General features: G+C 36.8%; 2 protein-coding genes, 1 long non-coding RNA gene and 1 pseudogene across 9 annotated transcripts in view; 3 read left to right on the plus strand and 1 right to left on the minus strand.

Moving 5' to 3' along the window:
- Nucleotides 1-1,238: 1,238 nt before the first annotated feature.
- OR52E4 (olfactory receptor family 52 subfamily E member 4) lies at nt 1,239-7,689 on the plus strand. Its single transcript, NM_001005165.2, has 2 exons — nt 1,239-1,324; nt 4,829-7,689. Exon 2 carries the CDS (start codon nt 4,903-4,905, stop codon nt 5,839-5,841), a length of 939 nt encoding a protein of 312 aa, NP_001005165.1. The 5' UTR covers nt 1,239-1,324; nt 4,829-4,902; the 3' UTR covers nt 5,842-7,689.
- The window catches only part of LOC112268071 (uncharacterized), a 57,527-nt gene continuing 31,756 nt past the window's right edge, over nt 1,705-27,475 (minus strand). For 4 of the 7 annotated variants that reach the window (XR_002957231.2, XR_002957230.2, XR_002957232.2 and 1 more), the window contains exon 3: nt 1,705-2,039. This is a non-coding gene — a long non-coding RNA (uncharacterized LOC112268071). Of the gene's footprint in view, nt 2,040-7,825; nt 8,393-13,412; nt 14,001-27,475 lie in introns of those variants that run through there. The other 3 variants (XR_002957234.2, XR_007062563.1, XR_007062562.1) reach the window with 2 other exon arrangements.
- Nucleotides 13,818-23,340, plus strand: OR52E5 (olfactory receptor family 52 subfamily E member 5). Its single transcript, NM_001005166.5, has 3 exons — nt 13,818-13,880; nt 16,242-16,323; nt 21,242-23,340. Exon 3 carries the CDS (start codon nt 21,387-21,389, stop codon nt 22,368-22,370), a length of 984 nt encoding a protein of 327 aa, NP_001005166.3. The 5' UTR covers nt 13,818-13,880; nt 16,242-16,323; nt 21,242-21,386; the 3' UTR covers nt 22,371-23,340.
- Nucleotides 24,246-25,089, plus strand: OR52Q1P (olfactory receptor family 52 subfamily Q member 1 pseudogene; annotated as a pseudogene).

Here is a 27,475-nt window from a genome sequence, read left to right on the forward strand (position 1 = left end):
TTCGGGAGTCATGTAGTATAATGAAAGTATAAAAAGTTGATTGGGTATTGAGTGAAGGACTTTGGCAACAATGGTGTTTGCCCCTTATTACATAAAGTCTACAGTATACAATGGAGAATGTAGGGGTCATGGGAAGGAATTTTAAGCAGAAATTGGATAGAGTCAGACTTGATTTGGGAAGATAAATGTGGATACAGTAAGGAAGATGGACACAATGAGGGAGAAACAGGAACCTCAGGAGTTACTTTCTCATTAATCAAAAGAGAAGTAATGAACACAAGAACGTGGCAGATCAAACCAGAATCTCTCTTGGACCACAGACGACATTGCTGTTTCTGTGCTAACAACTCAAAATAGTCTGAACTTAGGAGGCAAAAAATACCAACTAATTGTCTAATGTACTTATTTTTCCCTCAGTCTATTTCTAACTATAGTCAGGAAAACCAGGCTCTGCAGCATGTCCTGGTAGTACTATCGGGTCTACTATGTCATCATTCAGGAAGGGAGCCTCTCAGGAAACACTACCTCTGCTCTGGCTGGAAGGGACAATATAATATGTTTTATAAGGAAAACGTAGAATTTTCTTCACTTTCTGCCAAAAGAGCTGAAACACATGAAAGCCTCTCTTCAAAGACTATCTGTTCACCATTAGTTATAGACTGAGAAGGAGAATCTTGGTGGGTTGGAAGAAAGTTGCTGCTATTATCTGCAGGCATGCACACTGCCAATAAACAGAGTTGTACCACAGAGTCTAATTTGTCTATTTGAGATGTCTTCTCCTTCATCTTTTGAAGCCTCAATTGTAACAGCTGTGAAACTACATCAGGATTTACACAAACATATTAAAACAGAAAAGTTGCTGAGAACAGTTTCATGGTCACACTGTGAAGAGTTAATGGTCCAAAATCAATGCTTTCATGGCTCCTGAGGGAAGCGGAATTAACATCATTCCCCAAACAGATTCCTCTCTCTTCAGGATAGCTCCCTTCCCATCCTTTCATAACACATCTGCTCCCCTGAGCTAAGGAGTTATATCTAGCATGGTGTTTCTCTGCAGATGCAGTGAAGAGGAATAAAGACTTACTATGACTTAATGACCCTCGAGTCCATGTTTCTGCCCAGAGGATTCCGAAGACTAGGCTCGGGGATTCTGGGACATGCCTGGTCATAGGGATGCTCTCACTCACTATAAAGTTGCCTCCACTTTACCAAGCAGGCTTGTTGCTCAGAGGCTTCAAGGGGAACCTAATCACGGTCTTTAAGAACCTGGACTCATGCTCCAATTCTGCTCCAAGTGAGGGCTGGGAGAAGAAATATTACAGAGGTAAGAATGCTTGTGCAGGAGAAGTGAAAAGATACACAGGAGAGAAGAAGAGGGCAAATGAGGATAGAGAGGCCAGATTCTTCCACTTTTCTGAGGAATTATCCTAAGCACCATTGCACCATTTTCTTCACAGAGGAACACAACAGAGCACATGGGATTGGTGAGGGCAGTGGTGTACCAATTAGTAATGCACAGAATTTCTGTCTGTGTATCTCTCTCTCTCCCCCCTTTCTCTCTGCCCCTCTCTCTTACACACACATACACTCATACACACACATTCTCACAGAGTACACTGTTCACAGCCGAAACACCACAAATACAGTCATATAGTAGCATGGCCATACTTGTTGTCAATAAGACAAAAGGATGTTATTGCAGACTTCTTTTGTATGTGTTTATTTAAGGTGGTGGGTGGGTATCACATGTCAATATTCAAATACAATTACATAGGCATTAACATATTTGGTCTGTAAAGTTTTATTCTCTGTTTCCCTCATTGTCTGAGTGAATTTAATGTTGCCAGTTGTAACTTGGTTCCCTATATCCCTACTACTTTATGGAACCATCCCCAAGCCATTTTTATTGTAAGCACAATACCCCTGCTAGATCAGCCGGACTGAACCGCCAATGGCACAGTTATGGAAGAGCCTGAATGAAGGTATTTATCCACTTTATCCATTCATCAACTGCTTTGGTCTCACCAAGATTGGGAAAGCTGTAAGAATAAGAGGAGAAAATTGTTTCTTTTCTAAATGAGCAGTATTGGGTCATATTTGTATCCATAAAAATCTAGACATAAATATTAATGTCTGACTCTGTGCCATTTCTTCACTTTGGCCTCTTCTGAGCCATTCCTCCTTTATCTAATCTTAGGCCAAACTGTGACATAATTTGGACTTTTTACAATGAAATAACTTCTTTCTGCTAACAGGTGAATTATTTTAGCTATCTTGCATTTAAATAAACAAAATATTTGGGAGCATTAATAAAATAAGTAAGTATAATTTGTTGAGGATACACTATGCACTAGCACCTATACAAACATTGGTCTTATTTATCATTAAAATAAACCACATTAGTTATAATTTATCATCTCATTTTTACAGGAGAAAAAAAAACTGATCTATCTGGTTAAAGAATCTGTCCAAGGGTCTCAAGCAAGTAAATGGTTTAGCAGGTTTTCCAGCCATGTCTGAAAAGTTTTAAGGTCCACAGAAGACTTCTGTAATATTCTACTACAGTCAGCAAAAAAATAAAAATCCAACAAAGTAAAAAAAATCACAAGTTCAAAATGTGAACTTTGGTGAGCACAATAAGAGAAAAATTGCTAATTGTTATGAATTTGTCTTTTCAGATGGACTCCAGTAGGGATCTTTGTCAATGTGCATATCTAGAGAAGAACAAACTTAATAATTTGCCCTCAAAAAATGATCTTGAGGTTATTGGCCATACACTGTCTGCTACTGTGGCATATAGTTATAACAGAAAGAAGGCAAGAATTCAGGTAAAACTGTGAGAGGGTGGATGTGCTGGCAGCTTTGAATTTTACTGTCAGAGAAGCGTCCTCTTTGCCATCTCCCTGGGAATGTTTTTCTCAGCTGGCAAAGTATCATGTTGAGACACAGCCACCCTTAAGATTGGGCTGACTCTGGACTGTAAATCTCACAACACATCATCCTAGCTATTTCCTCAGACTCTCCCAGGTGAAATCACAAAAACCACTGCCCTCTGATTTTTCAGCCTGGCATCTTTTCCTCAATACTGGCAAACATTATGTTCTTTTTTCAATTTTCTCTCAGCTTCTCGGGGACCAAGAAATGCTCTTGTTCTTCTCATACAGAATGGGGAATTATTAACTCCTTTGCTTGTGTACTTCTGCTGTAAAATAGCTACCTGGCAAAGTTACAGGACAACTGATGTATGCAGCCACGTACATAATAAAACATGATTTCTCTCTCTACTCCTATCTCTCCAACCTTCTCCGTCTCTCTCTCTCTCTCTCTCTCTCACTCTCTGTCTCTGTCACACACACTCACACACAAACAAAAGCACACTTATTACAAACCCCAACTCTGATTCAATTAAATGCTGAACAACTGGGAACCAACATTCATGTGGCAGTTTTGAGAGTATTACAATGATTACCCCTGGTTCTCAACTCTTAGTTGCAGCTATTCTCTTTGTAGAAATAAGGCCAGTACATGCATAAATATTATACAATCCAGGTTACATTAGTTGCTACAGAGTTGTACAGTGTCTTTAGGGATGCAAAGTTAAAATAAGGTAATTTTCCTTGTTATTGTCAAGGAATCAATGAAGAGTCCTTAAAACATTTTAATTTCAATATTAAAATTTGCTAAATATTTGATCTGTTTACACCTGAAGGTAGGCACAATTTTGGGACATGGGAATTTTTTTTATGTTACTAACTGATGTTATAGATTGTAAGGAAGATAAACATAATTTGGCAGATACACACAAGGCATTTTATTGGAAGGATATCAGGGAATCAGAATGACAGGATCTTGGAGAAACTGGATTGTTCATGAAGATTTAGAAGCATCAAAATTAGTAATTAATCCATAATAGAAATGCACTTATCAGTTTAGCTGAGTTAGAACCAGGAAAGTTCTAACAGAGACTGATTAACTACACTTATGTGATGTCACTGTATAAGATCCTTACGTTTATATTATAATAAAACATAGAAAGTGGTAGACAGTAGTACTTCTCCTTTGTACTAGGAATCTTTGTCTCATCTAGAAACTATTGAGATACTCAGAATTTTAGTTTCTCTGAATTACATCCATAATATTTATATTATTAGACATTAGAGCAAAATTTAAATATTTAATATTAAAATAATATTAACAAACTATTATATAAAACATAATTTGGTACTTTTTGTTAAAATCACTGTTTTTCAAGAAATTAGTTGTAAAAATGGTATCATTTTCCTTTGCAAATATTTTTATTGTCTAAGTTAAGATAATAGAGCTGAAATCTCACAACATCATTTACAATTTCATTTAATCTGTTATGGTAGCACCTCATATAACCTCTGGAAAATTTCACTATGTACTTATGAGAGAATGAGAGTGAGAATGGCTAAAAATTTTCTATTATAAAAATAGTTTTGAGCTTGTGAACTTCTGGAAAGGTACTTAGAAAACCCCAGAGATCTCAAGACCACACTTCAAAGAACACATGGAATGGTGATTTCCCAAAAAGTAAAGAAGGGCTACTTAGGAAAGTAATGGAAGGGAATGCCGTAATATAAATATGCATTGCATTATGAAATTTTTCCCATTCTTTCAAATATCTCAAAGATTACAAAACATAAAGCCATAAGCAATATTGCCTATGATGGATCTCAGAACAATAATCTGTGTTGAGAGGCTTCCTCGATTATCCTCTGGAAAGAAGTGAGTCTTGAATGTTTGTAAATTAACCACCTATACCATTACCTCTAGCACACTGATAAGAGTCTTTCTGTTTCTTCAGGAACTTGACAAGAGAGGACCTTAAAGAAAGTGAGATCCTTCATACTTAGGAATTCAGTGACACTTGCTGGGAGAATGCCTTCTATCAATGACACCCACTTCTATCCCCCCTTCTTCCTCCTGCTAGGAATACCAGGACTGGACACTTTACATATCTGGATTTCTTTCCCATTCTGTATTGTGTACCTGATTGCCATTGTGGGGAATATGACCATTCTCTTTGTGATCAAAACTGAACATAGTCTACACCAGCCCATGTTCTACTTCCTGGCCATGTTGTCTATGATTGATCTGGGTCTGTCCACATCCACTATCCCCAAAATGCTAGGAATCTTCTGGTTCAACCTCCAAGAGATCAGCTTTGGGGGATGCCTTCTTCAGATGTTCTTTATTCACATGTTTACAGGCATGGAGACTGTTCTGTTGGTGGTCATGGCTTATGACCGCTTTGTTGCCATCTGCAACCCTCTCCAGTACACCATGATCCTCACCAATAAAACCATCAGTATCCTAGCTTCTGTGGTTGTTGGAAGAAATTTAGTTCTTGTAACCCCATTTGTGTTTCTCATTCTGCGTCTGCCATTCTGTGGGCATAACATCGTACCTCACACATACTGTGAGCACAGGGGTCTGGCCGGGTTGGCCTGTGCACCCATTAAGATCAACATAATCTATGGGCTCATGGTGATTTCTTATATTATTGTGGATGTGATCTTAATTGCCTCTTCCTATGTGCTTATCCTTAGAGCTGTTTTTCGCCTTCCCTCTCAAGATGTCCGACTAAAGGCCTTCAATACCTGTGGTTCTCATGTCTGTGTTATGCTGTGCTTTTACACACCAGCATTTTTTTCTTTTATGACACATCGTTTTGGCCAAAACATTCCCCACTATATCCATATTCTTTTGGCTAACCTGTATGTGGTTGTCCCACCTGCCCTTAACCCTGTCATTTATGGAGTCAGGACCAAGCAGATCCGAGAGCAAATTGTGAAAATATTTGTACAGAAAGAATAATTCTGTATTAAAGTTTGGATAAATATATCTATATACAACCCAAATTATCATCATCTGAGCTCCCTTTTTAATCTTCTGTAACAGTTGGTCATGCTTGTCAGATTTTTTCCTTTTGACTGGAAGTGCTTTAGTGTTGACAGATAATGCAAACTTAAAACCTTTGCTGCCTGTTTCCCCTACTTCTCTCCAAGTACCTGGACAAAGGTTAGAGATTAATGGAGAAGGTAACTATGCTGAAGGTTGAGGTGGCTTTGGAGTAGAACTGCTTGTAAACAAGGGTGATAGGTAGCTCCATTTTTTTCCATATGTCTTCTCTCTAGGTAAGTTTAGATCCTGAAGGATACTGATCAAATAAATCTCATTTTATAGATGAACAAAATAAGCTGTAATCCAGCAGTAGTGTCCGTTTCATAGCTTTGTATTCTTTACAGAATCCAAAATTTTGTTGTTCTTCTCCAAAATCTTTGACTCCCATGTTTATTTTAATGCTCTCTCAGTCTTGCTGTTACTGCCATTTTTGCTCCTTTCCTTCTTTCAGATTCCTGCTCTCTCTCTTTTTGTGATGGTTAATACTGAGTGTCAACTTTATTTGACTGAAGGATACAAAGTATTGATCCTGGTTTTGTCTGTGAGGGTGTTGCCAAAAGAGATTAACATTTGAGTCAGTGGGCTGGGAAAGGCAGACCCACCTTCAATCTGGGTGGGCACCATCTAATCAGCTGCCAACGCAGCTAGAATATAAAGCAGGCAGAAAAATGTGAAAAGACTAGATGGGCCTAGCCTCCCAGGCTACATCCTTCTCCTGTGCTGGATGCTTCCTCCTCGAACGTCGGACTCCAAGTTCCTCAGTTTTGGGACTCAGAGTGGCTCTCCTTGATCTTCAGCTTGCAGATGGCCTATTGTGGGACCTTGTGATCATGTGAGTTAATACTTAATTCCCCCTTTGTGTGTGTGTGTATGTGTACACACACACACACACACACACACATATATATATATATCCTATTAGTTCAGTCCCTCTAGAGAACACTGACTAATACACTTTTCTTTTACATTCGTTCTCTGATAAAGTAAGTCTTTGTGAATTTAGGGATATGAGAGACTACAGTGTGGGTATTACGGAGACATGTTTTCTCACTTGAAGCAAAGTCATTTTAGATGTGACTACTTGTATGTGTCGCCTGTCTAATTCTAATTCTCAATTCTATCTGACAATTTCCCTTCAGACAAAATATATAAAACTTATGAGACTTTATAAAACTTAGAAAAACAATTAGGCTCAAGCTATGGTAAGCACAGGGCCAGACTTGATATCGACTTCAAAATAATATCATTATAATTTATTAATCCTGTAGATCTCCAATATTTAGTCCTATTTTCAAACTTCAGATATGGCTGGAGAATGTGGTTTGCTTTAAAATAGATAAAAGAGACATTGAACTGAAATTTGTGACTTATCAGGGTACTCATGCTTCAAAATCAGAAGAAGTCTCCCTCATGTTCTATAATTTAGAACCACTGTGTAGTTTGTATGACAATATACAAAATACTCAAAAGTACGCAGATAACGATTTTAGGAAATGGGGGCGGATATAGCCAAGTAGACAAGAAAAGCAACATCACCTATTCAGTATCTGTGAATCTGGACAGTTCTTGGTCTTAACACTGGCTAAGCACAATTCCTGAATTCTATAGTATTTTGTAGATTTTCTTTAGGTCTGTATGCATGGGTTCTAATTTGATTTTTGCAGCTTCTGCTTCATGTACTTAACATTTTATGGGAACATAGGGTTTTAAATGTGGAAATACATTGAAACTTGATCTATTCCCTTTGTCTTACAAATAAAAAAAACTGAGGTCTAAAGAAAGCAGGTATTTGTGTGCATAAAATATACCCATCTTTAGCATCATTCTCATGTAACAAGTGAAGGAAGATCACTCAGATAAATCCTTTTGACTACAAATTCTTAACTCTTGCAGGAGATTTAAGTAGGAAATATTTTATTTATACGTGAGAGGCTTCATCATGGGTCCCAAGTGGAGATCAAGTAAAAGGAGAGGTAGAACGAGTAGCCTGGGTTTGGTGTTGGTAATGAGAAGAGGGAGACCACAGAAACTGAGTACAGGTGCAAGTAGTATAGTGATAAAGAGAAGCTGAAATCAGCACAGTCTTCATCACTGTGGTCCACAGTACTGAGTGGTAAGCACAGACGAGCATCCAGGCCCTCAATAGCTGTACCATATATAAACATGCTAAATAAAGACAAAGTTTTTTTCTTTTCTCAGTGATATGAAAGCATCTGTGACATGTATAATGCAACTTTCTGGTTAAATATATTGATGGGAGTCGGAAAATTTTAATATAAGCGTAATAGTGTCCACAGTGTAGATGGGAGTGCACCATAATGCTGGCCCTGAAATGGTTCATAATCAAACTGGAACACCACACTTAAACATGGCTGAGCAGAGTCATTGTACTGGGATCCCTTCTCTGGACAGTAGTTTTCTTTCACGAAATCAAACAAGATGGGACCAGAAGGGTGCTGACAAGCTGAAGAAAAAAGACACAAAAGATAAATATAATTGAGAAAATGGTGACAAAAGGAATGCCAACCTGAAATAATAGTATGAGAATCCAGTGTAAGTGTTTATTCAAATGCAAAGCTAAGGATGGCCATCTGGGAAACACAGAATCCAAAGAAATGAGGTCAATGCTCCAAAGTTGAAAAGTTAAGGTTTTACTTATGTAGGCAGAAAGCAAAGAAATGTAGCAGAATTAAAGATTTCCCCATACAAACTTGATTTATGAGTTACAGCACATTGATTAGTTATAGCTTGTTTTCTTTTTCCAATTTAAATGAGTATTTTTAACATTTTAACTTTGACAATGTAATAGTCATGAGGTCTTTGTGTAAAACAAGGAAGAAGGAAGTTAATCAATAACGAAGATCAAAAATAAAGAGGGAAAGGGTCTTCTCTGGCACTCGTTAGTCTTTTACAACATTCTAAAAAACAATGTAGGTAATGGAAAAAGGCTAATTTATAATCAGGCAAACAAATACTACAACTTCCTAGGTTACAGCTATCTGTTAGTGACTCAAGTCCTATAATCACATTCTTTTAAGGCTCAAAATAATTTAAAGTTTCAACAGCTTTGGTCTTGAATTACTTATTTTCATTAAAAAAAGACATCAATGCCAGAGTTAATTATATTCTACTGGTATTGAATATTCGAAGACTATGCCATTTTCCATAAACCTTGCTCACCCCGTCAAGCAATCCTTCTCCTTAGGAACCCTTTATGCATCACACGGTATTCTACAGAATATGGAAACCAGCCTAGCTCATAGACTCTTATGGGATAGTAAGTGTGAGAATATTAATGCTGTTTATCTCTAACTTTATGTTACCCACCAGCACTTTGGGAACAGACATAATTCAGTGTAACTGAAAATAAACTTCCATGAAGTTCAATTCAGATACAGTATCTTCTTGAATATGTTCCAACATTGCTCCATTCAATTGGTTTATTGATCCATAACTCCTATATCAGTCAGAGCCTTGCTATATTATCCTGGTTTCCCAAAAAAACCTTTTTAAAATTCCAGATGCCTGCAGACTTTTCCATTTTTCTGGTGCCAAATTTGAAGAAAATTCTCAACAGTTTTCCAAAGTGATTTCACCATTTTACACTTCTACCAACAAAATATGAAAATCCCAATTGCTCGACATTCCCACCAACATTTGGTGTTGTCAGTCATTTGAATTTAGCTACTCTAGTGAGTAAAAAGCATTATCCCATTGCAGTTTTAATTTTTATTTCTCTAATAACTAATAATGATGTCAAGTATATTTTTAGCTCTTATGGGCCATTTTAAAATATTCGCTTGTGAAGTATCTATTATTCTTTTCCAACAACTACAAAATTAGCTACTTTGAGATATATTTGAATGTAGTTCAAAAGTCTTAAGAAATTAGAATCCAAAGATAAAACTACCTATTTCAAAATAAACAATAAGAGCAGTAAATTTTACCTATACTTATACATGTTTCTATATACACATGGATATTTATAAATATACAGATGATCCTTGATTTACAATGTTTTAATTGGACAATTTTTTGACTTTAGAATAGTTTGAGTATATGCATTCAGTACTTTCCTTGACTTACAATGGAATAAAGCCAAGATCAACCCCTGGTAAGGTGTCTGTAATACCATTGTTATTACTAACAATGTCATGTCTCTTGAAGACAATCTAGATCTTCTTACCTCTTGCATTTCCAAATTCCATTTATTTCATGCTAATTGCATCATTACTTTGGATGCTGCATTATCCATTGTCCTGCTCAAGAATAATGCCTTCAAAATATTGAACAATATTTTCAATGGATTTGTTTCTTTTTTAATTTTTATGGATACACAGTAAGTGCATATATTTATGGAGTACATGAGATGTTTTGATACAAGCATGAAATGTGTAATAACCACATCATAATCCAGCAATCCCACTGCTGGGTATACAAACAAAAGGAAGAAAATCAATATATAGAAGAGATATCAGCACTCCAGTGTTTGTTGCAGCACTGTTTACAATAGCTAAGATTTGGAAGCAACCTAAATGTCCATCAACAGATGAATGGATAAAGAAAATGTGGTACATATATACAACGGAGTACTATTCAGCCATAAAATATTTTCAAATTATCATGGGTTTATTGCAGCATAACCCCATTGTAAGTTAAGGAGCATCTATATATAATATCATATATTATGTATTGTATATTATTACATGTGATAAAAGTAAGTTTAAATAGAAGAATCTACAGGAAAATCTAAGGCTGCTTATTGGCAATATTAGTGAAGGTTCTAGAAAGCATAGTTAGCAAACTCAAGCTGACCCCTTAAACTAAGACAAATATATAGGCACAGTTTAGAAATTCCACAAGAGACTATAAGGATAGTAAGTGTGGGAATGTTTACTCTGGGGTCCAAAGAGGAGAAGGAGTTCCTGGCATCTGGAGGCCCAGAGAGCATTGCAGATAGAAGTTGCAATTTATTTGGAGGTACTCACAGAGCCCGTGGTGACCTGCAGGTCACCTGCAATGAAGGAGCAGGTGGGAACCAGAATAAATATCTCGACCTCACTCACTTCCCCCTCACCTGCTGGTGCTTCCTATTTTCTGAACCCAAGCAGATTCTATGGGACAAAAGAGGCTATTGATACAGTACATAGTCATGAATCTCTTAGGACACAGAGTATAGAATGGACCTAGAGAGGCCGAAAGGAGATCTCCAGCACATTGGCCCACATAAACAAAGGGCTGGAGGAAAATTCTGAACAAACATGAGGCGGCCAATATTTTTATATATTCTCCTTTCAATTACTATTGTGTGCTATTTATTTCAGTATTTATTTATTTGTAGCATTAGATACTCTCCTTTTTGTTCTCAGAATCCTCTTAGAATCATTTTGAATTTTTTTGTATTCTTTTAGACAGCCCAAGAATTATAATGCTGATAAAAAATCATTTGGACTAATATACTGTGAAATATAATCTAGTATGTTTGCACTGAGAATTGAAATGAGAATAAAAAAGTAATGGAATAATCACCAGGCATATTCTTAGTTTTCTCATAATTTTAGAGTATTCTCTCTGTAAGGCCAAAAGTAAAATGAAAGAACATTTTATATGCTAGGGGTATTCTTCTATGTGGTTTATAAGATTCATGGGTATTAAGGAAAACTTTGGGCTTTCCAAAGCTTTAATTAATATTGTAATTCAAAAAGATCAATATGATAATGCATAGTAAGATATATCCAATTTTATAGGAAACATTAGAAATAATCAAGAAAAGTCACTAACTTTTCATCCTTTACATTCTTTTATTGTAAAAGAAATCAAAGCTCCCTGAAGAAATGATTTTGAACTCAGAGGTATACAAATAGAGATATAACAAAAATATCTTGAAAACTTAGTTAGCACAATAGCTCATGTTCAAGAAATGTAGCTGATTTGACTTTCACGTATACATAATGCTCAAATGGCACTTGCTGATTTAGCCTGTATTTAATGAGCATCTAATTATTATGTTGTCTAATTCATATCAGGAGCTCAATAAAAGAAGGTTGAATCAAGGAACATTGGCTTGTAGGATGAGCATGACTGACATCTAGTGGTAAAAATAAATACTTTTTTGTAAAATTTATTTATTTATTTTGTAATTTCAACTCTTAGATTTAGGGGCTACATGTGTGGGTTTGTGACATGGGTAGATTGTGTGATTCTGAAGTTTGGGGTATGAATGATCCCATCACCCACTGATATGGTTAGGCTCTGTGTTCCCACCCAAATCTCATCTTGAATTGTCCGCATAATCCCCACATTAGGGTTGGGACCTGTTGGGAGGTGATTGGATTGCAGGGTTGGTTTCCCCCATGCTGTTCTCATGATAGTGAGTTATCATGAGATCTGATGTTTTTTTAAGTGTTTGACAGCTCCCCCTGCACGGGCATTCTCTTTCTCTCTCACCTGCTGCCCTGTAAGATGTGCCTCTTCCCCTTCCGCCATGACTGTTAAGTTTACTGAGGCCTTCCCAGCCATGTGGAACTGTAAGTCAATTAAATCTCTTTTCTTTATAAATGACCCAGCCTCAGATATTTACTTATAGCAACGTGAAAATGAACTAATATACGCAGGTGGTAAGCATATTACCCTATAAGTAGTTTTTCAACCCTTGTCCTCGGCCTCTCTCCCACCTTTAGTAGTCCCCAGTGTCTGCTGTTCCCATCTTTATGTCCATGTGTACCAATAAATACATTTCCTGAACAAATAAATGACAGTCATTTAAATGAACAATCTAATGAACTAAAAAGGTAAATAACTTTTTCTACTGAATATTTATTTATGTTATTGAACACCAAAAATTCTACTTCAAATAAGGAATAGAAATAATGTCCATTTAATAATATTTAGATATATTGTCAAACACTCTGCTGTTCTAGTCAAATGCATGATCTCACTTACTCTGAAAAAAAAAGTGTGAAATGTGTTTTGTCATTTCCGTCAGCCTTGTGAATCTATAAGAAGGAACAAGAAGCTGATAGAGGTTAAGAAATGTTTTCCCAGCTACAGAATCTAAGAAAAAAATATTTAAATTTATGTTGCCTAACTCCAAAGTGTTAACTTCAGAGATAATGTTGTAAAAGATTTGTGAAAATGCATAGCCAGTGTTAATGTATTAATTAATTTCTAACAAGTAAGTGTTGAGCACCTTCCAGACATTACCTTATTATACTGTTACAATATTGATATAATTTTTTCTCATTTTCCATTTGAGAAAACCAAGACTTAGAATGGCAAATGTAATTGAACAAGATCACAGAATAAGAGAATCAAAAGATCATGTTCTTAATCTGTAGGTTAAACTGCTTTTCTTTCTGTATATATATATATTCATTTTGATATTTCTATTAATATTATGTATCGTGTTAGATGCATTACACACTCACAAAAATCATGGAATGTAATTCTTGTAACAGATATATCTCATGAATTGGAAACTGAAGTTAGAATTCTATCTCTGCCATTTATTAATGTACATATATTTCAGAGATGACTTTAAGGCGATGCTGGGTTCCTTCTTACAGGGCTCTTTTCTTGCCTCTCTGTCAAGAGTAACTAATCACCTGATACCACAGTCAGATTTAAGGTGTAAGTGTGAGGTCATTATGCCTCTAACTGAATAGACCCCTGGGACCTGTGCAGGGAATGTACCCACTAGAGGATGCACAGATCATCAGCAAGCAGAAGGTATCTCTGACAAGATAACCTAGAGCCCTATCCTCAGGAGTAGGGAAATTTTCTGTTTTCTCTCCAGGTCCAGTGACACAGCCCACACTTTAGGGAAGCCCTTCCCAGGGGACAAGAATTCTCATATAACTCCTTGGCTCTGAATAGTAAGAACTATGTCGCATACAGGTTGCAGTCTGGGGTATCCGGTCCTTCACAGACAATTTCTCAGATGCGGGGCAGAGGTAGGTGAGTCAGCTCCTGGTTATGCTGAAAGAGGGTCCTCAATGACAGTAACTAAAGTGATTTGTGGGATGATGGAGCTCCAGTGACTCGGCCAGAGTCTCTGTAGATAGGGCCATCTTCTAAGGAAGTAGCAAGAGAAAGAGATAGTAGTTAAGAAAAACCCAAATTCATAGCTGTAGTCAAGAACAGACTATTACTTAAGGACATGATAAAGGAAGAAAAGCAGTAAACAAACTTCAAAGAGCATTCTGAGAGTTAAAGGAAAAGAGAAGGATAAGTGTTTTAAAATTAAAAAAAAAAGAGCATTTCATGAAGATGAGAAGGATGTTAACAGATCATTCCCTGGTTATAGCTGTGTGGTCTGCTTTTCAAGACCTATGCACCTATGACTAGTTGTTAGGAATCTCAGATGCTGAAACCTCAAATTTTCACCCGTCCCTGGAATTGCCCTCAGATCCAAGGAACTGCCTCATCTGAGGTCATGTCGCATCACACAGTGTGGCCCATTGCCAACAACTAGATAATATAGAAATACAAAAAAAATAAAAAAGGCTTACTTTTTTTGTGTGTGTGGGACAACTTAGAGAGATCAAACCATCTCCAGAGCTTCATATCGTATCATTTGAGGCTTCAGATGTAACTACATGATAAAGAAGTTTGTCTTCTGATCCAATCCTACCTTCCTGGCTTCTTTATAAGCATATTTTCCCAGAGCCTTTCTCAAAAATCTTTCTGCCCGCCATTCTCTATCTCAGATATGTTTTTAGGAATTCAATCTAAAATACTATATATAACAATAGGGAAGATTATTATTTGCACTCAACTTTCAATAGCCATTTGTGGATCCTGGCATTAAAAAAATCATGTTATCATGGAGATAAATATGACACTAGTTTTGCCTTCAAAGAAATTATAACCTAGTGGTAGATATTCGCCAGTGGTTCTCAAATTGGAATAAGCATCAGAATCACCTGGAGGGCTTTTTAACAGATTACTGGACCCCTCTTCAAGAGCTTCTGATTAAGGTGGTCTTAGTTAGTGTCCAAGAAATGTCATTTATAACAAGTTACCAGGTGATGCTGATGCTATTGGTCCAGGGAACTCATTTTGAAAACCGCTGATAACTCACGTAACAGAAAGATAGATTGGCCTTTGGAAAAATAGGAAAAAAAAGAATGGATAATCTTGAAATAAGCAGATTGAGGCAGGCTATGTAGATTGTATGTTAATAAATCTAGGCTATGTACTATAGTGGTGACTAAAGCTAGACAGGAAAGTCTCCTCATAAGAGGAAATATGAAGAAAGACATAGAGAAGAAAGCATGCAGAAAGTTTGAAGTGCAGTTTGACTGCAGTGTGGAGATGATAATACTGTAAAGATAGGTTAAAATTAATGTTTAAGATTCTTCACTGCATTTTATGGAATAAAGACTTTTTTCATAAGGATATGGAGCACTACTGAAATTTTATTCTTATGGCTCAGGGGTCGGTGCCCTTTTTCTATAAAGAGAGAGAGAGTTAATATTTTTAATATTTTCCTGCCATGAGATCTCAGTCACAACTCCTCAGATCTTCCATTGTAGATTAAAAGCAGCCACAGACAATACATAAATGAATGAGAATAATTTTGCCCCAATAAAATTTAATTTACAAAAACAAATGGTGGGCCAGATTTGGTCCATGGGCCATAGTTTGTGTTCTCAGAAAATACTTATGATAATCTGATTTCAAAAATTATTTTAATTGCGGACTCAATGTAAAGAAAAGATTGCTTTAGACTTTGAGTGTAGAAATGTTTTACTTCACTGACAAGAGAACCACTACACATTTTTTTCAGTTGTTGTGTTTAATTATGAAAAGATTGCTAAGGCCATGGTGAATTAAATGGCTGTGACAATGTCAGGAAATTCAAAGTCCTACACCAAAATTACTTTAAGTGAACAATACAATTCTCCAAAGCTAATATTTTAGAAAATAAAATTCTTGTAACAAGCACTGTCTTAAGGTGAAAAATAATAGCTGTTGGATTTGAAATTGCATATCACAAAAGAAAAGCTGGATTTATATTCACAGGAAACAGTGAAAATATAAAATTAAACATAAATTTTGTTCCTTTGGCTGATTTTTCTCCATTGCACTCTTAATTCTACCAAATTTAGGTATTCTTTATTCTTCCTTATTTCAGTGACAGATTAAATAATTTAGCTCTGTACTTTAATTTTTCTGCAAACAAAATTCTCTATAGCTTATTCATTAATACAATTAATCATATTGTGATATATAACCTCTATTTTTTAATCTTTGTAAATAGCCATGAATAAATTTAATGTTTTAAGCTAATCATTGTATTCCACCATTAGCAGGATGATCATCTTATTGGCATTTATGGTTGACCCCTGCGGAAGCATTACATTGGAGGAAACACAATAACTGAAAAACCAAGTAAGACAATTTGGTAATAATTCAGATGAACAATGTTAGTCTATGTATATCAGTGAAAACAGAAATAGGCCAGGTGTGGCGGCTTACGCCTGTAATCCCACCACTTTGATAGGCTGAGGCAGGCAGATCAGCTGAGGTCATGAGTTCAAGGCCAGCCTGGCCTTGTCTCTACTAAAAATACAAAAATTAGCCGGGCGTGGTGGTGGGCACCTGTAATCCTAGCTACTCAGGAAGGTGAGGCAGGAGAATCGCTTCTACCCAAGTGGTGGAGGTTGCAGTGAGCTGAGATTGTGCCAGTGTACTCCAGCCTGGGAAACAGAGAGAGACTCCATCTCAAAAAGAAGAAAGAAAAAGAAAGAAAAGAAAAGTAGAAAAACTAAAATGTAGGTAGGAATATAAATAGAGATTTTAAAAACAGAACAGGGTATAATAATCAGAGAAGACTTTGGGAGGCTGAGGCGAGCAGATCACGAGGTCAGGAGATCAAGACATCAAGACCATCCTGGCTAACATGGTGAAACCTCGTCTCTACTAAAAAAAAAAAAAAAAAAAAAAAAATTAGCCGGGCGTGGTGGCAGGCACCTGTAGTCCCAGCTACTCAGGAGGCTGAGGCAGGAGAATGGCGTGAACCCGAGAGGTGGAGCTTGCAGTGAGCTGAGATAGCACCACTGCACTCCAACCTGGGCGACAGAGTGGGACACTGTGTCAAAAAAAAAAAAAAAAAATCAGAGAAGAAGAAAAAATTTGAATGAAAAATTATTCAGTTTTCAAATCTTTGTAACTGTAAGGATGTTACATATTAATAGAGATATGAAATACATTGTATGAGAAATAAGGATTTAAAGGCAGCAAGTGGTGAGTACAATAAAAAGAGAGGGTCTGGAGAAATATTTCTCCTTCTCCCTATTGAAAGTAATAATCATGATGATGATTACAGTTATTTAAAATCCATGTGGAAAGTAATCACACCACATGTCTATAACTTCTAATTTTCAGGACAGTCCCTGCATGATGTGGTGATCATGTGATTAATTTTATTACCCCCAGCTTACATATAAAAAATTACTAATAGCAGTAGCTATTGAGTAAGATATAGTTTTTAATTCCCTGGCCTGAATCTCATTTACCTCCTCTGTAAATGGGGACAGAAGTGCCAATTTCAGAACTGCTTTAATCTTTAAATAAAATCACATTTCAAAAGCACTGAAAAAATACCTGGCACATAATGTCAGCTAGACGTTTTTTCCCTCTAACATAAACTTAGTTATTATTCCTTTTAGTAAAAGACAAAATGTAAAGAATTCTCTGACAGATCGGATGCTGGGGCAGGGGATAGATGTAAATAGAAAGATAAAGCTAATTTGTGGTTATTAGTGGGTGAAAGGTATTGATACTGACTCTTTTGTATTGTAAACATAACTTTTTTATTTTTAGACATTCAAGGGGATACACGTGCAGGTTTGTTACCTGGGCATATTGCATAATGCTGGGGCATAGGCTTCTAGTGAACCCATCACCCAAATAGTGAACATTGTACCCAAAAGGTAGTTTTTCAACTCTTGCCTCTCTACCTCCCTCCCCACCTTTGTAGTCTCTAGTGTCTGTTGTTTCCATCTTTATGTCCATGTGTACCCATTGTTTATCTCCCACTTATAAGTGAGAACATATGCTATTTGGTTTTCTGTTTCTGCATGAATTCACTTAGAATAATGGCTTCCAGCTGCATTCATATTGCTGCAAGGGACATTATTCTTTGTTATGGCTGTGTACTTTTCTATGGTGTATACGTCCCACATTTTATTTACCCAATCTACCACTGATGGACACTTAGGTTGATTTCATGACTGCTATTGTGAATAGTGCTGTGATAAGCAAATCAGTGCAGGTGTATTTTTGATCAGTCCATTTTCCTTTGGGTAGATATCCAATAGCGGGATTCCTAGAAATAATGATAGTTCTATTTTTAGTTCCTTGGGAAATTTTCATACTGTTTTCCATGGAGGTTGAGCTAATAAATCCCTAATACTGTGTAAGTGTTCCTTTTTCTCCACATCCTTACCAACATCTGTTATTTTTTCACTTTTTAATAATAACCATTCTGACTGGTGTGAGATGGTTTCTCACTGTGTTTTTGTTTTTGTTGTTGTTTGTCTGCTTGTTCATTTTTGAGCCAGAGTCTCATTCTGTCACCCAGGCTGGAGTGAAGTAGCACAATCACGGCTCACTGCAGTCTTGACCTCCCAGGTTCCAGTGATCTTCTCACCTCACCCTCCTGAGTAGCTGTAACCATAGGCGCACACCACCACACCAAGCTAATTTTTTTTTTTTTTAGATGAAGTCTCCCTATGTTTCCCAGGCTGATCTGGAATTCCTGGGCTCAAGTTATCCTCCCACCTCGGCCTCCCAAAATGCTAGGATTACAGGCATAAGCCACTGCACCTGGCCTCATTGTGGTTTTAAGTTGCACTTTTTTGATGATTAATGATGATGAACATTTTTTCATATGCTTGTTAGCTGTTTGTGTGTCTTTTTTTGAGAAATGTCTATTCAACCTTTGCCCACGTTTTAATTGGGTTTTGTCTTTTGCTTAATTATTTAAGTCCTTATTGGTTCTTGATATTAGTCTTCTGTCAGATGCATAGTTTGCAAATATTTTCTCCCATTTTGTAGGTTGTCTGTTTACTCTGTGAATTGTTTATTTTGGCTGCACAGAATCTTTTTAGTGTAAGTAAATCCCATTTGTTTATTTTTGTTTTCATTTTCATTGCATTTGCTTTTGAAGTCTCAATCATAAATTATTTGCCTAGGGCCAATGTCCAGAAAAGTTTTTCCTAGGTCTTTTAGGATTTTTGTAGTTTGAGGCCTCATATTCAAGTTTTTAGTCCATTTTGAGTTAATTTTGTATATGGTAAGAAGTAGGGGTCCAGTTTTATTCTTCTACATATGGCTAGACAATTTCCCTAGCACATTTACTGAATAAGATATCCTTACCCAGTTGATTGTTTTTGTTGACTTTACCAAAGATCAGTTCGTTGTAGGTGTGTGGCTTTACTTCTAGGTTCTCTATTCTGTTCCACTGATTTTTGTGTCATGTTTCCAGCAATGCCATGCTGTTTTGGCTACTGCAGCCTTGGAGTATAATTTGAAGTTGGGTAGTGTGATGCCTTTGGCTTTGTTCTTTTTGCTTAGGATTGCTCTGTCTATTTGGGCTCTTTTTTGGTTCCATATTAATTTTAGAATAGTTTTTTCTAATTTGAAAAAATGGCTTTGGGAATTTCATAGGAATTTCATAGAATCTGTAGATTGCTTTGGGTCATTTTACTGATAGTGATTCTTCCAGATTATGAGTGTGAAATGTCTTTCCGTTAGTTTGCGTTATCTGTGATTTCTTTCATTGGTGTTTTTTAGTTCTCCTTGTAGAGATCTTTCACCTCCTTGGTTAAATGTATTTCTACATATTTTATTATTGTGTGGCTATTTTAAATGGGTTTGAGTTCTTGATTTGGTTCTCAGCTTGAAGAATACTGGTATATAGAAATGCTACTCATCTTTGTATGTTGATTTTGTGATACTAACTTTCCTATAATCAGATCCCATAAGGAGAAAAAGATGATTAATACAACTCAGGAAATGATCATATCATAAAGTATCTTCCCTCCCTTTAGCAGAATCGTGACATATCTTGGGAAGCAATTCCACACCATGAAATTGGACAGAATCTGAGAAGATACAAACCCAAATACACATACCACTATACTTCCAAAGCAGTTCTTTGGGCCTGCATTATAGCCAAGTCATAGGGATAGTTTTTCTTTAGGATTAGTAGCACCATATTAGAAATCATTGCACTCAAATGAGCATCAAAGTAATTTGACCCATGGCACTGATATGGATATGGCACTGCCCGAATCTGACTAACCCAATAACTGAATGTATTCCATCCATGGCCCAGAGCCTACCACAGAATACACCCTGTAGCAGCAAAGTTTCTAATCAAGTCCTAGTCTCATTTGCACACACCCAAGCACCCTACAGGCCTATTATGTTGCAGATTGCATCCATTGCACAGAGCCAGTTACAAACCAGACTCAACCACAAGGCACACCAGAAAGACTCAATTGTGACGGTAAACTAGCCTGCTGTGAACTTAAACATATCACTGTCCATCAATATACCAGGGAAACTATTACAGCATTAATACAAACTAGACTGTCCCCAATCTGAGGCAAGTATCTGACCTCAGTATCTTTTAAAAAGATAGAGACAATTACACTGCCACTATCTAGGTGGCATTATGAAGCGATTGCCCATTTATATAATGCGAAATGGAGAAGACAGAAAAGATCATAAATCACAAAAGGCACTGCAAAGTATCTGAGAGCATCCAGTGTTTTCTATTCAGGAAAGAAAACATAATATAGTGAAGGGCCTTTGAAGTTGTAAGAGGGAGCATTGTTTTTCTGGAATTATGCAATAGTTACCCTATGTATCTAAATTTAAAAATTTTATTTATTATCTCAAATCCAAACACCAACTAACCAATCCTCCACCTTTACTGAGTCTCCTCTCACAGAGAATATTCTTAATTTCTCAGATCTAATTTGCAAGAATGTATCATTCCTCTTATCATTTTCCTCCTCAATCTCAGTCCAGTGACATTTTACACACACACACACACACACACACACACTTCACCTTGGCTACTCTTTACATCCTGATTAACAAGTATAATTAGCAATAAATATATGCTAATTTAATGCCATATGGAAGTTTTTTCTTAGAGACTGAAGGGAGGAAAGACATGGGAAGTGCAGGATTGCTATATTTTGGAAACTTTCTGCATGGTTTCCTGTGTAAGTGAGGCAAATATTTAAAAGTGAGAGTGTCTTTTTAACTATATTTCATATTCCCTCTCTAGGTCTCTTATGCTATATTATGGAGTTAAAGAATGGATTTTCTGTTTCCCCAAGAAATAGACACCATGCTGTGAAAGAAGTTATGGTTTCTCACTGGAAGCAAGAAAACTCATGCAAGAAATGTGTCTGTAGGGAATGGCCACCAATATGCTTCATACCAACAATACACAGTTTCACCCTTCCACCTTCCTCGTAGTGGGGGTCCCAGGGCTGGAAGATGTGCATGTATGGATTGGCTTCCCCTTCTTTGCAGTGTATCTAACAGCCCTTCTAGGGAACATCATTATCCTGTTTGTGATACAGACTGAACAGAGCCTCCACCAACCCATGTTTTACTTCCTAGCCATGTTGGCCGGCACTGATCTGGGCTTGTCTACAGCAACCATCCCCAAGATGCTGGGAATTTTCTGGTTTAATCTTGGAGAGATTGCATTTGGTGCCTGCATCACACAGATGTATACCATTCATATATGCACTGGCCTGGAGTCTGTGGTACTGACAGTCACGGGCATAGATCGCTATATTGCCATCTGCAACCCCCTGAGATATAGCATGATCCTTACCAACAAGGTAATAGCCATTCTGGGCATAGTCATCATTGTCAGGACTTTGGTATTTGTGACTCCATTCACATTTCTCATCCTGAGATTGCCTTTCTGTGGTGTCCGGATTATCCCTCATACCTATTGTGAACACATGGGCTTGGCAAAGTTAGCTTGTGCCAGTATTAATGTTATATATGGATTGATTGCCTTCTCAGTGGGATACATTGACATTTCTGTGATTGGATTTTCCTATGTCCAGATCCTCCGAGCTGTCTTCCATCTCCCAGCCTGGGATGCCCGGCCTAAGGCACTCAGCACATGTGGCTCTCACGTCTGTGTTATGTTGGCTTTCTACCTGCCAGCCCTCTTTTCCTTCATGACACACCGCTTTGGCCACAACATCCCTCATTACATCCACATTCTTCTGGCCAATCTGTATGTGGTTTTTCCCCCTGCTCTTAACTCTGTTATCTATGGGGTCAAAACAAAACAGATACGAGAGCAGGTACTTAGGATACTCAACCCTAAAAGCTTTTGGCATTTTGACCCCAAGAGGATCTTCCACAACAATTCAGTTAGACAATAATGAGATCATAACAAAATAAACACTGGAAACATTTTTTTTACTACTTCTCTTGCATTCCCACATGAGCCAATAGCATTATATCCCCTACAACGTCTCATGATTTCAGTACGGTCTGTTGGAAGTTATAGCTCAAAGATTCCAAAACAATCTCTCTGTTTCACCCATTAAAAGTGCAAAAAGTACTCACACTTAAGCCCCATGATACTACAAAATGCCTAAAGAGAAACAAAGGCTTTGTAAAAGTTATTGCCCAGTAATTGTCTTGAATAGCCTTTCCACATGAAGATTCTCTGTATTTACATATCCAAAGCTGAAGTTCATGACGATTAAAATGATGTGGTATTTCATCAAAACCAGGCAGGATACAGTGGCAAGAGAAATTAACTAGGAGTCATAAGATCTAGATTTAAATACAGGTTATGGCCTTACCTAAAATTTTGACCTGAGCATTTCACTTAGACTCTTTGAGTTCACAATAACAAATTCATACTGATTTATAGCATTTTATGAGCAGGGATATTGAAGCTTAAAGTGAATGTTGTGAAAATCTGTGCAGCTTGTAAAACATTAAAAGATTTGGAAACAAAATGAGTGCTTACTAAACATAATTATAGTGTAATTGTTATTTCTAATGTATGTAGATTTCATTTACTAATCCACTCTAGTATACAATCCCTGGTTTGAGGTCAGCTCTCCAGATCCAGATTATCCCAACGCATGGGCCTCTTCATGGACCTCTCAGCTCTTACCTTCGTGAAAGAGACTTTCAGTCAGGAGACTATAAAGCTTGAAGAGTTAACAGGTTTCTGTCTTGGGCTTAAGGACTCAGGGAAATCCCATCCTCCACAGTCTTTGCTAGAGTGGGTTTTAGGGCAGACTGTAATAGTGTGGCTGCTGAAATAATATAAAGTCATTCTTAATAAGGTATAGAAGATAAATAGGACAATTTATTTCTTTGGGTATTCTAGGAGCTGCAAAAATGTGAAGTTGGCTCCTAATTGGAAATGGAGCCCTGATTGAAACTCAAGGTAGAATGAGCAGAAATGTACAGAGAATAGTGCGAAAGTAATAACAATATAAATAACAGTATAAATTGACAAGTGGAAGTAAACTGAAGTGATATGTCATATAAATATATAAAGAAAAAGTAACCAAGTAATCATTTTCTAAGTAGATATTTTGAAATTGATACAGAATTTAAAAAAAACTAAACAGATCATTTAACAAGGAATAAAGATGACAAAAAATTCATTGTGGAGTGTCTTCTAAGTAAAATACCACTTTTCAATTATAGTTTATTTAATGTATTATTATATAATATTTCAACTACGAAAATCTCATTTTAGAGCCTGAATATTTACATTTGTATATTTAAAGGCTCTAATATGTTCAATTTTGTTCACTCTACCCAAAATATGTTAAACCACCAGACCACTTAATTTTGGTATCATACGTTAAGAACTTCGACTAAGAGTTTTCCTGTATCATTTCTGAGACTTTGCTAAATGTCACGTGCTCCAGAAAGTGAGTAATCTGAATGGAAATGGGTAACAGAGAACTTTAATTTCTAAGGAGCATAGAAGCTAATACAGAAGAGAAAACCCCATTCATTACCAAGTATATGTTCCAGGGGCTGTAACATGGGAGCCAGGAGCATATTTGAAAACAGCACAGTGTGCACATAGAATTCCCAAGAAAGGAAAGTTGTTTAGGGAGTTTATCAAGCTCTAGAGTTTTTTTTTTTTTTAACTGAATTTGTACAAAGCCATCAATACTGCAAGTCTTGGAGCAGGTCGGCTGAGCTATGCCAAATGCTATGGTAAACACTGAATATTGGTCATCTTGGCTGAGTCCATGTCTGTGAAACATTGGCATGCTTCAAGCCAATCTAAAAGAATTCAACTTTGTTTATTATTTCAAAATTTCAAGGCTGCTGAAAGGTAGGTCTTTATACACAGTCACTTTATTTGCTAGCTGAGTATTTTCATCGGGGGCAACTGATGAAAATGTTGACTTCCACTAACCTAAGCCTGTCCGTTGTTACTATCGTATCTTCCAGTTCAACGTCAGGGAAATAGTTTTTGGTGCTTTCCTTGTTTATATACAGATGTTTATGACTTATCTATGCACTGGCCTGGAATCTGGGGTACTGATAATCCTGGCCATAGACCACTATGTCGTAATTCGCAATCCACTGAGATATACCATGATTCTCATGAACAATGTGGTAGCCATCCTAGGAAGTCATGATAATTAGATCTTTAATCTTTATCATCCCTTTTGAGTTTCTCATCTTGCTGTTGTCATTCTGTGCTGCCCATATCATCCCCCACACCAAATGTGAGCACATGGGCATTGCCCATCTTTCCTGTGCCAGTATCAGAGCCAATAATATGTTTGGGATGGTTGCCTTTTTGTGGGATTTATTGACCTTATTGCAATTGGTTTCTCCTATGTAAAGAAACTACACACTGTTTCACTTACCACCATGGAATGGCCAGTTCGAGGCTCTCAATACCTGTGGTTCCCATGTTTGTCATGCTCATCTTCTACATCCCAGTATTTTTTTTCTGATACACTGCTTGGTGAAAGCATCCCTGCTATATTCGTATATTTCTGGCCAATGTATATACGGTTGTTCTACCTGTATTCAACCCTGTTATCTATGGGATCAGGAAAAAACAGATCCCAGACTAGGGTATAGACCTAAAGACATTTGATGATCAGTCACTTCTAGTCATGATGATATATATATTGGGATATATATGCAAATATATATACACATATATGTGTGTGACTATATATGTGTATATGTATGTATATATTTGTGTTTGTATTATTTTTTTATTTCAATAGGTTTTGGGGGAACAGGTGGTGTTTGGTTATACGAATAAGTTCTTTAGTGGTGATTTTTGAGATTTTCTTGCACTCATCACCCGAGCAGTGTACACTGTACCCATTGTGTAGTCTTTTATCCCTTGCCCTCTTCCCACCCTTTCACCCAAGTCCCCAAAGTCCACTGTATCAATCTTATGCCTTTGTGTCCTCATAGCTTAGCTCCCACATATGAGTGAGAGTATATGAAATATGATTTTCCATTCCTGAGTTACTTCACTTAGAACAATAGTCTCCAATTCCATCCAGGTTGCTGCAAATACCATTATCTCGTTCCTTTTTATGGCTGAGTAGTATTCCATGGTATATGTATGTAACCCATTTTCTTTGCCCACTCGTTGACTGATGGGCATTTGGGCTGGTTCCATACTTTTTGCAATTGCAAATTGTGCTGCTATAAATATGAGTGTGCAAGTATCCTTTTTGGTATAATGACTTCTTTTTCTCTGAGTAGATACCCAGTAGTGGGATTGCTGGATCAAACAGTACATCTACTTTTAGTTCTTTAGGGAAACTCCACACAGTTTTCCATAATGGTTTTACTAGTTTACATTCCCACCAACAGTGTAAAAGTGTTCTCTTTTCACTGCAACCAAACCAACATCTATAATTTTTGATTTTTTGATTATGCTCATTCTTGCAAGAGTAAGATGGTATCGCATTCTGGTTTTGATTTGCATTTCCCTGGTAATTAGTGATGTTGAGCATTTTTTCATATGCTTGTCGGCCACTTGCTTATCTTCTTTTGAGAATTATCTATTAATGTTCTTAGCCCATGTGCTGATGGGATTTTTTTTTTCTTGCTGATTTGTTTGAGTTATTTGTAGATCTGGATATCAGTCCTTTGTTGAGTGTGTAGATTGTGAAGATTTTTTCCCACTCTGGGGGTTGTCTGTTTGCTCTGCTGATTGTTTCTTCTGTTATGCAGAAGCTTTTTAGTTTAATTAAGTACCACCTATTTATCTTTGTTTTTGTTGCATTTGCTTTTGGGTTCTTGGTCATGAAGTCTTTGCCTAAGCCAATGTCTAAAAGGGTTTTTCCGATGTTATCATCTAGAATCTTTATGGTTTCAGATATTAAAGTCTTTGACTCATCTGGAGTTGATTTTTTTATCAGGTGAGAGATGAGGATCCAGTTTCATTCTTCTACATGTGGCTTGCCAGTTATCCTAGAACCATTTGTTGAATAGGGTGTCCTTTCCCCACTTTATGTTTTTGTTTGCTTTATCAAAGATCAGTTGGCTGCAAGTATTTGGGTTTATTTCTGGGTTCTCTATTCTTTTCCATTGGTCTATGTGCCCGTTTTTATACCAGTACAATGCTCTTTTGCTAACTGTGGTCGTATAGTATAGTTTGACGTCGGGTAATGTGATGCCTTCAGATTTGTTATTTTTTGCTTAGTCTTGCTTTGGCTATGTGGGCTGTTTTTTGGTTCCATATAAATTTTAGGATTGTTTTTTCTAGTTCTGTGAAGAATGATGGTGGTATTTTGATGGGAATTGCATTGAATTTGTAGACTGTTTTTGGCAGTATGGTCATTTTCACAATTTGATTCTACCCATCCATGAGCATGGGATGTGTTTCCATTTGTTTGTGTCATCTATGATTTCTTTCAACAGTGTTTTGTAGTTTTCTTTGTAAAGGTGTTTCACCTCCTTGGCTAGGTATTTTCCTACATATTTTATATATATTTTTTGAAGCTACTGTAAAAGAGGCTGAGTTCTTGATTTGATTCTCAGCTTGGTCACTGTTGGTGTATAGCATAGCTACTGATTTGTGTACATTAATTTTGTATCCTGAAACTGGTGAATTTGTTGACCAGTTCTAGGAGCTTTTGGATGAGTCTTTAGGGTTTTGTAGGTATACAATCATATTATCGGCAAACAGTGACAGTTTGACTTCCTGTTTACCAATTTGATACCTGCGATTTCTTTTTCTTGTCTGATTGCTCTGACTAGGACTTCCAGCGCTATGTTGAATAGAAGTGATGAGAAAGGGCATCCTTGTCTTGTTTCATTTCTCAGAGGGAATGTTTTCAACTTTTCCCCATTCAGTATAATGTTGGCTGTGGGTTTGTCATAGACGGCTTTTATTACATTGAGGTATGTCCCTTGTATGCTGATTTTGCTGAGAGTTTTAATCATAAAGCGAAGCTGGATTTTGTTGAATGCTTTTTTTGCATATATTGAGATGATCATGTGATTTTTGTTT

This window comes from Homo sapiens, chromosome 11, assembly GCF_000001405.40.
Source record: "Homo sapiens chromosome 11, GRCh38.p14 Primary Assembly".
In the NCBI taxonomy this organism is placed as follows: Eukaryota; Metazoa; Chordata; class Mammalia; order Primates; family Hominidae; genus Homo; species Homo sapiens.

Bases quoted from the DNA above. Each gene is read 5' to 3' on its own strand.
- OR52E4 (NM_001005165.2), top strand. From the start codon at position 4,903: ATGCCTTCTATCAATGACACCCACTTCTATCCCCCCTTCTTCCTCCTG.
- OR52E5 (NM_001005166.5), top strand. From the start codon at position 21,387: ATGCTTCATACCAACAATACACAGTTTCACCCTTCCACCTTCCTCGTA.